This window comes from Homo sapiens, chromosome 14 (genome assembly GCF_000001405.40).
Source record: "Homo sapiens chromosome 14, GRCh38.p14 Primary Assembly".
Lineage (NCBI taxonomy): Eukaryota > Metazoa > Chordata > Mammalia > Primates > Hominidae > Homo > Homo sapiens.
The window spans coordinates 34,692,425-34,704,704 of record NC_000014.9 but is presented as its reverse complement, the minus strand read 5'-3'; the positions used below and the strand labels follow the sequence as shown (position 1 = coordinate 34,704,704).

General features: G+C 42.6%; 1 long non-coding RNA gene and 1 pseudogene across 1 annotated transcript; one reads left to right on the top strand and one right to left on the bottom strand.

Annotated features, from left to right (window-relative positions):
* The first annotated feature begins 3,364 nt into the window (after window positions 1–3,364).
* LOC107984628 (uncharacterized) lies at window positions 3,365–11,821 on the top strand. Its single transcript, XR_001750947.2, has 3 exons — window positions 3,365–4,782; window positions 10,143–10,394; window positions 11,701–11,821. It is a non-coding gene; the product is annotated as an uncharacterized LOC107984628 (long non-coding RNA).
* RPL23AP8 (ribosomal protein L23a pseudogene 8) lies at window positions 10,012–10,550 on the bottom strand (annotated as a pseudogene).
* Window positions 11,822–12,280: the final 459 nt, after the last annotated feature.

Here is a 12,280-nt window from a genome sequence, read left to right as displayed (position 1 = left end):
AGCCTGGTGAACATGGCGAAACCCCGTGTCTACTAAAAATACAAAAATTAGCTGGGTGTGGTGGCTTGTGCCTGTAATCCCAGCTACTCAGGAGGCTGAGGCAGGAGAATCGCTTAAACTTGGGAGGTGGAGGTTGCAGGGAGCCGAGATCACACCACTGCACTCCAGCCTGGACCACAGAGTGAGACTCTGTCTCAAAATAAATAAATAAATAAATATAATAAATAAATATAAAAGGTAGAAATGGCAGCAGAGTATTTTGTTCCAGAAATCATAAAACTTAACTATACCACACAAGAAATAAGATGATACGAAAGGTGTCTTATGTCCTGATTCATGAAATAAGTGGAATAGAGTTTTATGTGAAGATTAATGTTTTAACCTTTTATATGTAAAACAGTAATAGATCAAACATGGAGAGAAAAAGTGAGATTCCCTTTACTCATGACTGCTTATTGATGACAATTATATTACGAAGGAATATATAGATACATGAGAGGGAAAGCGATAATAGGCTAACAAAACAGGTGTTAACCATTTTCCTAATTTGAAATATATTCAGATTTTATTATTTTTGTTTTTTTGTTTTTTAATAGAGATGGGGTTTCACCATATTGCCTAGGCTGGTCTTATACTCCCAAGCTCAAGCAATACACCCACCTAGGCCTCCCAAAGGGCTGGGATTATAGGCATGAGCCACTGCGCCTGGTTATATTGAGATTTTAAAATGTGGCCGGGTGCGGTGGCTCAGGCCTGTAATCCCAGCACTTTGGGAGGCCTAGGTGGGCGGATCACTTGAGGTCAGGAGTTCAAGACCAGCCTGGCCAACATGGTGAAACACCGTCTCTACTAAAAATACAAAAATTAGCTGGGTATGGTGGCACGCGCCTGTAATCCCAGTTACTCAGGAGGCTTAGGCATGAGAGTTTCTTGAACCCAGGCGGCGGACGTTGCAGTTAGCCGAGATCACGCCACTGCACTCCAGCCTGGGCAATAGAGCAAGACTCTGTCTCAAAAAAAAAAAAAAAAAAAAAAAAAGATTTAAAAATGTACCTGGGGACCAGGCACAGTGGCTCATGCTTGTAATCCCAGCATTTTGGGAGGCCAAGGCAGGCGGATCACTTGAGGCTAGGAGTTTGAGACCAGCCTGACCAACATGGCGAAACCCCATCTCTACTAAAAATACAAAAATTAGCCAGGCACAGTGGTGCTCACCTGTAATCCTAGCTACTCGGGAGGCTGAGGTACAAGAATCGCTGGAACCCGGGAGGCAGAAGGTTGCCATGAGCCTTGATGGCGCCACTGCACTCCACCCTGGGCAACAGAGTGAGACTGTCTTAAAAAAAAAAAAATTAAATAGCAAAAGAAGTACCTGGGTTTCTTTTTTTTAGGCTTAAAAGGAAAACAAAATTGTTGATTAATAATTTTAAAAAATACTATTATATATTGAGTCATGTGTCTACTTTCAATATTTGCCATAATAGAATTATTTATTATTAGGAAGTTGACTGCAAAACTTCTCTCATTATTATTATTATTATTTTTTTGAGATGGAGTCTAACTCTGTCCCCCTGGCTGGAGAACAGTGGCACCATCTCAGCTCACTGCAACCTCCGCCCTCTGGGTTTCAGCGATTCTTCTGCCTCAGCCTCCCGAGTAGCTGGGATTACAGGTGTCCACCACTATGCCCAGCTAAATTTTTGTATTTTTAGTAGAGATGGGGTTTCACCATGTTGGCCAGGCTTGTCTCGAACTCCTGACTTCATGATTTGCCCGCCTCAGCCTCCCAAAGTGCTCAGATTACAGGCATGAGCCACCGCGCCCAGCATTTTTTTTTTTTTTTTTTTTTTTCTGAGACGGAGTCTCACTCTGTGACCCAGGCTGCTGGAGTAAAATAGTGTGATCTCGGTTCACTGCAACCTTCGCTTCCAAGGGCTCAGACAATTCTCCCACCTCAACCTCCCGAGTAGGTGGGACTACAGGCACGCACCACCACGCCTGCCTAATTTTTGTGTATTTTGGTAGAGACAGGGTTTCACCATATTGGCCAAGCTGGTCTCGAACTCCTGACCTCAAGCAATCCACCTACCTGGGGCTCCCAAAGTGCTGGGATTACAGGCATGAGCCACCACACCCGGCCATCTCATTATTATTATTATTATTAATTATTATTATTATTATTTTGAGATGGAGCCTTGCTGGAGTGCAGTCGCATGATCTCAGCTCACTGCCACCTCCACCTCCCAGGTTCACGTGATTCTCCTGCCTCGGCCTTCCTGAGTAGCTGGGATTACAGGCGCGCACCACCATGCCCAGCTAATTTTTTGTATTTTTTAGTAGAGACGGGGTTTCACTATGTCAGCCAGGCTGGTTTCAAACTCCTGACCTCAAGTGATCCACCAACTGAGCTCGGCCTCCCAAAGTGCTGGGATTACAGGCATAAGCCACGGCGCTTGGCCCTCTCCTTATTTTTTTGACTTCAAAGCAGATCCTGTTTATTTTTATTTTGAAAGCATTTAAATACTTCATTGTTTTGTTTTTATCTACCTGCTAGAGAAAAATGTTTTGTTTTATATTATATTTATCACAGTATAGCAGTTCTTAAGAAATACCATGTGACTGATTTAGATAGGTGTCATGCTCTGGCTGTGAAAAAAAATGTTTTGGGATTAATGCAAGTGTCATTCAGTAACATTGCCACAACAAACAAAAAAGCTTCCTGTTCTGAGCTGGATGTTTTCTTTCTTTCTGATTTCCTCTTTGCAATATATTAAATAAGTAAATAGAATTCTAGAAAATGGGCCGGGCGTGGTGTCTTACACCTGTAATCCCAGCACTTTGGAAGGCCAAGGCAGGCAGATCACCTGAGGCCAGGAGTTCGAGACCAGCCTGGCCAACATGGTGAAACCCCGTCTCTACTAAAAATACAAAACTTAGCCAGGCGTGGTGGTGAACGCCTGTAATCCCAGCTACTCAAGAGGCTGAGGTGGGAGAATCGCTTGAACCCAGGAGGCAGAGGTTGCATTGAGCCGAGATTGCACCATTGCACTCCAGCCTGGGCGACAGAGAGAGACTCTGTCTCAAAAAAAGAAAAAAAGAAAAAAGAAAATGACCCTTGGGTTAAAAACACAGCCTAGGCCGGGCGCGGTGGCTCACGCCTGTAATCCCAGCACTTTGGGAGGCCGAGGCAGACAGATCTACTAAAAAATACAAAAAATTAGCTGGGCGTGATGGCGGGTGCCTGTAGTCCCAGCTACTCAGGAGGCTGAGGCAGGAGAATGGGGTGAACCCGGGAGGTGGAGCTTGCAGTGAGCTGAGATCATGCCAGTGCACTCCAGCGTGGGTGACAGAGTGAGACTCCATCTCAAAAAAAAAAAAAAATTATATTCTCATAAGAACATCCTAAAAATGGGCTAACTGATATGATTACTATCATTAAGTAATATGAATGATATTCTTCTGGCTAACTCTCAGAAAATTGTATTTATTTTTATTTCAAAAATAACATGTTTTATAGAGAACCTCTGCAAAATATAGAAAAGAACAAATAAGAAAGCTAAATCATGAGTTAGCTTTAAACACTACAAATTACTTGTGTTAAGCTATTATGACTAATAGGAAGATTCCTGTAGTTAAAACTGGTTTTAAGTTATCAATATATGCTGGTAAGAGGGAAACTTTACTCAAATATTGTTTGTGCAGATTCCTTGGTATTTTTCATCCCAGAAAGAACTGTTGTGGCTCTAGTCACAACAGATTTGAATCTTGAAAATTATGCATTGCACCTACCTAAGTGCTCGCTGCATGACTTAGTGCCATCTACCATTAAGATCTGAAACCACAAAATTTTCTTCTGTTTATTGTGCCATTGGGAATTGATAATAGACATTTTTGTTTTTTGTTACACTGGGAATTGATAATAGACATGATTTTTACTGTTCCCCAAAGGAATTATTTTACAAAATAAATAGTTTCCAATATATCAGGATTCTACTTTTCCCCTTGTATTTGTATGATAAAGTTTAATAGTTGCTAGTTCCTGGTGCACAGTGTAAATAATCCATCCTCTAATCTACTTTGTCCCTTTCATATAAAGATGTAAGATAAAACATAATGTATACATTTTGCACTAAGCCAGAAGCACTCAATCTATATTTGATGAAAAAGTGATATTTACTAATTTGGCTCAAATTATGCAGATCATACATTGACTAATTAGCTCGTGGATATTTAGTCTTCATTTAACTAAGAGAGAGTTTGCATTTTGTTTGCTATTCCAGCAAAGTCTGGTAATCCTTGTGATTAAAGAAACATGATTTATGTTTGCTGTGGAGAAACATGATCATCCTGGCTACTATGAATCACTCTGGAAACATCCCATCTGTTTCCCAATTACTCAGCTCAGACCATTAGATCAAATTCAGTTCAGTTCAACAAACACGAAGCACCTTTCTTAGGCTCAAAAAGCTTTCCATGATATAGGGAAGGCAAGCAAGCACATAAACAAATAATTATGATGTAATACAATGTGATAAATACAACCATATGTTACTACTAGATTTAGAAGAGGGAGTGCTTAACTTTGGAGTTGAAATGGGCTTGGAGAAGGCCTTCCAGAAGTAATGTTTGAGCTGGGTTGTAAAGGATGATAGAGTTCACCAGAAATCTGTATGAAAGGATTGTCCTAGAGAAAAAAAAAAACCGCAGATGCCTTGCAAATGTTTCATTACAGCTGCTATTGAGTCAAGCGTGAGGCACTGTGATGAGAGAAGTGCAGGAGAGGTGGGTATGAGCTAGATCATTGAGGGCATTGGATACCATGTGAAATTTTGTGCTAAGGAGCTGGTGCAGGGTTTTAAGCAAAGGAGTGGTATGATCTTTCTGAAACACAAACCTGATTGTTTTATGACCATGATAAGAATATGTGTAAGGAGAAAGAAATTGGAGGCGATTAAGATGCCTAAATCAAGGCAGTGGCAAATACATTTGGGGTAGGTGGATTTGAGAGGTATGTAGGAGAAATGACAGGACTTGATTAATTTCAAAATTAAATGAAAGAATGCAGAGCTTTAATAATTATTTGGAAAATATTGACTATATTTTTAGTATTGTAGACATTTAGGATCATTTAAGCTTCAGAATTGGCTCAGGAAATTTATAAATGTGGAAAGAAAAATATATTAAAAACATTTTTTTTTTTTTGAGATGGAGTCTCGCTCTTTTGCCCAGGCTGGACTGCAGTGGTGCTATCTCGGCTTACTGCAAGCTCCACCTCCCGGGTTCATGCTATTCTCCTGCCTCAGCCTCCTGAGTAGCTGGGATTACAGGCGCCCGCCACCGCACCCGGCTAATTTTTTGTATTTTTAGTAGAGACGGGGTTTCACCGTGTTAGCCAAGATGGTCTCGATCTCCTGACCTCATGATCCACCCGCCTCGGCCTCCCAAAGTGCTGGGATTACAGGCGTGAGCCACCATGCCCGGCATTAAAAACATTTTTAATGAAGATAACATTTTGATAGCATGAAATAAATCATTGACTAGGAAAATCATGTGTCGTATCTGAATTTAGATTTGTAAGCCGCTTTGCAGCAACATGTAACAATGGTTTCAATAGATAAGAAATTTTTAAAACTACCATAACTATAGCATCTTTGAAATGGAATATCCTATAGTTTAAAAAGTCATGGTTATATTTTCTGTTATTCTATGCTTTTGCTTTTACTGTAAAACTTGTCTGTCCACATATAAGCCATGGCCAAATTCCTCTATCAAATTTTTTTATGCATTTTTAATATCATGGAGATTAATACAGATTCTACATTGAGATGAATACTAAATTTAACTAGCATATTGTCAGCATTTCCCCATCTGGTGGAATTTTCAGAAACTTGATTTTTTTTTTTTTTTTTTTGAGACGGAGTCTTGCTCTGTCACCCAGGCTGGAGTGCAGTGTCCTGCTCTTGGCTCACTGCGACCTCCATCTCCCAGATGCAAGTGATTCTCCTCCCTCAGCCTTCCAAGTAGGTGAGATTACAGGCATCCACCATGATGCCCAGCTAATTTTTGTATTTTTAGTAGAGACGGGGTTTCACCATATTGACCAGGCTGGTCTCGAACTCTGACCTCAAGTAATCCACCTGCCTTGGCCTCCCAAAGTGCTGAGATTACAGGCACAAGCCGCCACACCCAGCCCCTGTATCAAATATTTTAGAAAGAAATTAATTTAGCAATGTTCTTTTATCACACAATCTGCTCGTTAGAGAAAACCTGGCCTACTCTTCGCTGGTGATAGAAAATGGAATTTTCAGGTCATTTAAAAGATCACGTTCTATTAAAGATGATTTTTAATCCTCACTAGTAAATACAAGCTATTTATAAACACAATGTTTACAACACAATGTTTATAAATACACAATTCCTTTCGCAAGTACCATCCAGAATCAAAGATTCCTCTTTTTTACCTCCTTGTAATTAACCATATTGTTTTTTCATCTTGCTTTTATGATAAATAAGTTCACTTTTCTGAGAGGCCTTGCACTCATCAGGAACCATTTATTGAGTGTCTATTTGTAGAACACTGTCCTGGTCATCCTGAGAAATAAACTTCTCAAGGGCACTTTTATAATCCAGTTGCAGAGACAAAATAGACCTGTAAACTAATAAGTATACAGTGATAAGCAATTGAATAAGCAGTAACGGAATGCAAGAAAAAAAACGGATCCAAAAGAGAAAAGATTTTCTAGAAGTGAGTTTTATTTTATTATTTATTTATTTTTTGAAACAGGGTCTTGCTCTGTCACTCAGGCCAGAGTGTAGTTGTGCCATCACAGCTCACTGCAACCTAAAACTGGGATCAAGTGATCCTCCCACCTCAGCCTCCTGAGTAGCTAGGACTATAAGTCCACCACTATGCCTGGCTAATTTTATATTTTATTTTTTTAGAGATGGGGTCTCACTTTGTTGCCCAGGCTGGTCTTGAACTCCTGGGCTCAAGCAATCCTCCTACCTCAGCCTCCCAAAGTGCTGGGATTATAGGCATGAGCCACCGCACCCAGCCTAGAAGTGAGTGTTAAACAGCACTTAGAGGAAATAAATGGCATTTCTCTTCAAATATCGAGTATTTATTTATTTACTTATTTATTTATTGAGACAGAGTCTCACTCTGTCCCCCAGGCTGGAGTGCAGTGGCTACATCTTGGTTCATTGCAAACTCTGTCCCCCAGGTTCAAGCGATTCTCATGCCTCACCGTCCCAAGTAGCTGGGACCACAGGCGTGCACCACCACGCCCAGCTGATTTTTGTATTTTTAGTAGAGACAGAGTTTTGCCATGTTGGCCAGGCTGGTCTTGAACTCCTGGCCTCAAGTGATCCACCCACCTTGGCCTCCCAAAGAGCTGGCATTACAGGCATGAGCCACTGAGCCCAGCCTAGAATTGTTATTTGAAATGTTCCAACAGGCTTTCTTCACTAAGAATCTCCTTAATATCAAGAACAAAAAGGGCCTTTTTATCACCACTTCCATTAAATCATTTGGGAGAAGGCCTAGGGCCAAAGTAAAAACCAACTGGGAGCTCTGTGTTCCACATGGGTATTGTCATGGAGGCATGAGTTTCTACAGGCCTTCCTAACCTTTTTCCAAAGATTCTTTGGGCATCTGGTAAAGACTACGAACTCCTCTTCAGAGTAATGTTTTTGAATAATATACATTTTTTACATTAAAAATAGTGTTGCTTAGTGCAACACTATTCTCCAGCGTTGGTGACAGAGTGAGACCCCTTCTCTTAAAAAATAAATAAGCACTTTTTAAATAGATAAATGAAAAAAAAACTGATTCTCTGCTTATCTTGAAAAAAAAAAGCACCTTTAAACTGATTTATTTTGTCTTAAGCACATTAACATACCATCAAGTTTATAACCCTGGAAATAGAGCTTGGAAATCAGTAGCATACAGTTAAAACCATGGAGCATCAATAAGACGCCCAGCAAAAATTTGTGAGTATCGTAGAAGAAGAGAAACAGTCCAAGAGTGGGCAAAGGAAGAGAAGCCTAGAAAAAGGAAAGAATTGTCAAAGAGGTAGGAGGAGAACATACCTTCTGTGATGTTACAAAGCAGAGGGTGCCAAATGCTGCAGAGATGTCACATATAATGGGGACAAAAAAATAATACACTGAATTTGGCCCTATGAAGGTCAGTGACCTTTCCTGTGGCATTTTCAGCAGGTGAAGGGCAGATACCAAATGGAAATGGCTTGAAGACTGAATAAGAGATGAAGCAGAACAGTGTGGTATAAACCAGTGCTTTTCAAACGTCTATGATGAAGCACATATTTAATTTTCAATCTGTCATAGATTGACAACAGGGTCCTACTGTTCATGACTAGTATGCAGCTTGCACCAGATGCAATGCATCCCTAGAGCTGGGCAACAACCAGATTGGTCTATAGTCTGTTCAACCTGACAAGTCCACTGGTTCCAGGTTTGGATGTCATGGCCAGGTCAAATGGCTGTAAAAGTTTCTAAATGCTTATTGTCAACTCTGTACAGTAGGAGAGGTTTTATTTTAAGAAGTTTATCTGTTGGGTTTCTTTGTTTTGTTTTGAGATGGAGTCTTGTTCTGTCGCCCAGGCTGGAGTGCAGTGGTGCAATCTTGGCTCACTGCAACCTCCGCCTCCCGGGTTCAAGCGATTCTCCTGCCTCAGCCTCCTGGGTAGCTGGGATTACAGGCACGTGCCACCACACCTGGCTAATTTTGTATTTTTAGTAGAGATGGGGTTTCTCCATGTTGGTCAGGCTGGTCTTGAACTCCCGACCTCAGGTGATCCGCCCGCCTCGGCCTCCCGAAGAATTTTTGTATTTTTAGTAGAGATGGGGTTTCACCATGTTGGCCAGGCTGGTCTCGAACTCCTGACCTCAGGTGATCCACCCGCCTCGGCCTCCCAAAGTCCTGGGATTGAAGGCATGAGCCACCGCGCCCCGCCAATAAGCTTATCTGTTAGGGAAGAGAGAGCAACAGGTACTCTCCAGGGCCTTGGAAGGAAGAGAGGTTTCTTTTTTCTTTTCTTTTCTTTTTTTTTTTTTTTTGAGATGGTGTTTTGCTCTGTCGCCCAGGCTGGAATGCAGTGGCACAATCTCGGCTCACTGAAACCTCCACCTCCTGTATTAAAGTAATTCTCCTGCTTCAGCCTCACAAGTAGCTGGGACTACAGGTGTGCACCACTATGCCCGGCTAATTTTTGTATTTTTAGTAGAGCTGGGGTTTCTTTCTTTTTTTCTTTTTGAGACAGTTTCACTTTTGTTGCCCAGACTGGAGTGCAATGGCATAATCTTGGCTCACTGCAACCTCCGCCTCCTGGGTTCAAGCGATTCTCCTGCCTCAGCCTCCCGAGCAGCTGGGATTACAGGCGCCTGCCAACACGCCTGGCTAATTTGTTGTATTTTTAGTAGAGATGGGGATTTCACCATGTTGGCCAGGTTGGTCTCGAACTCCTGACCTCAGGTGATCCACCCACCTCGGCCTCTCAAAGTGCTGGGATTACAGGCATGAGCCACTGTGCCCAGCTTTGAGACAGTGTTTCACCATGTTGGCAAGACTGGTCTTGAACTCCTGACCTCAAGTGATCCTCCCACCTTGGCCTCCCAAAGTGCTGGGATTACAGGCATGAGCCACCACGCCAGGTGACTACTTTCTCTGCGTATCTCCTAATGTTCTTCATGCTTTGCATTCTTTTCAACCCTTAATTTGGATCTCCAGCACCTAAAATAGTTTTTGGTACATAGAAGGCATTCAAATTAAAAGGTTTTTGAAGAAATGAATGAACTTTCATGTGAACGGTGGAGGAAGACGTCCTGTTTCTAGATTTTACAGTAGAAAATCCTGCCTTACTTAGCCTCTTTATTTTGCCTCTAGGCAGAGATTTCTCAGGGAGAAATCATCTGGGAGGCCCATCATCTTTTCATAGTCTTTGAGTGCATTAAAGTGTTCCCCTCTGTTTTCAAAAAAAAAATTTTTTTTATGGTGAAAAGATACACGTATATTTAGAACTAGCCAGCTGGACTCAATTTAGATGATACCAATTTTTTGGCAACATCCAAAACATCGTAATCAGGAGCCAGTCAAACATATGCCTTCTTCTCTCCACCAGGCCGAATCAGGGTGTTGACCTTGGCCGCATCAATGTCACAGAGCTTCTTCACAGCCTGTTTGATCTGCTGCTTGTTGGCTTTAACATCCACCGTGAACACAAGTGTGGTGTTGTCTTCTATCTTCTTCATGGCGGACTCAGTGGTCCACAGAAACTTGATGATGGCATAACGGTCAAGCTTGTTTCTCCTGGGGGCGCTATTCCGAGGATATTTGGGTGGCCTCGAGTCGCAGTGTCCTGGGCCTCCGGAAGGTGGGTGACGTGCGGGTCTTCTTTTTTTGTGTGGATGTGGACATCTTTCAACACTGCCGTCTTCGCCTTTAAAGCCTTTGCTTTGGCTTCGGCTTCGGCTTTAGGAGGGGCAGGCGCTTCCTTTTTCGCTTTTGGCGCCATCTTGTGAAAAGGGTCCTGTTTTCAAAAATTATATCACTGACCTTTGCTCAATAGGAACTGTACTTTGAGGTTTTTCTTTCAAAATTGGTAACGGATTTGCCTCTGGGTTTACCTTCCTTTCCCTCTTCGAGGGCATACATTAACAAAGGACTATCAGGTTTGGGACCATGCCATTGAAACGGGACAAGTTCCCTTGTCCCCCCTTGCAGGGCGTGCAGTGGGGGTGTGGCTCGCTTCTTCAGTGCTCCGATGCTCAGACTTCTAGAGGAGCCTACAGATGGGCAGGCTGTGGGGCTCCGACCCCACAGCAGTGTCTAGGGGTGAATATTTACAGCTCCTGAAGCCCCAGTGGGCGTGTGTTACAGGATGCTCTTTTAGTTTTGCTCTTTTAGTTTTGCTATCTCTAGGCAGCTTGTGTTAACCAGCTCAATTAGACCCTCTACCCTCTACCTTGTGGCAAGGACAGAGGGCTTTCTGTATCCCAGGTTCTTGCCTTGGTGTACCGGAAGAATCGGATCACAAGTGGGCTTGGAGAATGAGTGCAAGGTTTTATTGAGTTGAAGTAGCTCTCAGCAGATGGGGGAGCTGGTTTTCCCCTGGAATCAGACACGCGCTCCTTCGATTACCCTAGCCAAACTCCACGTTATTCTGCTGGTCAGTGGCCAGCCTGCATGCTGGTGCCTGGCGGTGCGTTCCTCTAGACGTCCAGCTGCCTGTGTATTCCTCCACCGAGGTACTCCTTTCCAGCTCCAGCTGCTTCTGTCTCTGCCTTGCTAGGGTCCCGGGTTTTTATAGGCACAGAATGAGGGCGTGGCAGGCCCAGGTGGTCTTAAGAAATGCAACATTTGGGCAGGAAATGCCTGACTACACCTTGGTCCCTGGGGGTGGAGCCCTAGCCAGGGACCACGCCCTCCTCTTCGGAGCACTTCCCTTCCCTTCTTCTGTGTCATTTAAAGGGACCAAGCTCTTCCCTTGCCAGCACTCTCCTTCCATATCACCATAACCACAGAAGAAAGAGAATTTACCTCCACAGAGCTCAAACCTTAATATTTTAGCGTAAAATATTTTAGCATGAAAGAACTCTAGTGGTTCATAAATCTCTTCACTTTCTTCTTTCTCTAACTGGACTGATTTTCAAACATCCCTCTTCTTTTCTCATCTAAAGCATTGCCCCTAGCCCAAGCAGTGGAACTCAAATCTGTCCCTGGAAAAAATGAGAATGGTGACATAAAATGTGAGCAATGGCTGGACGTGGTGGCTCATGCCTGCAATCCTAGCACTTTGGGAGGCTGAAGCAGTGGATCGCTTGAGCTCAAGAGTTCGAAACCAGCCTGGGCAACATGGTAAAACTCCATCTCTACAATAAATACGAAAATTGGGGCAACAGAGTGAGACTCTGTCTCAAGTAAATACATACATACATACATACATACATACATACATACATACATACGTACATACATACAGTGTAGGCAACACGATCAGGAGTCAAAGAAAAGTGGACAATTTCAGTCATTGGGAAAACATTTGTTGAATACTTAGTATGTACCAAACACAGCACTGACTTCCAAGTGTGTGGTTTCCCTCCAGGGACACATAAAACTCAAATCCAGTCAGATGTGCCAGGATTGGTTTCTATGTTTAAGTGTTCAGAGGGACTTTTTCAACCAAAGCAACTGGAAGACTTTTTGCAGCGTGTACCACTTACATAGCTAAAGCACATCCTATAGTAGATTTTTAACCTT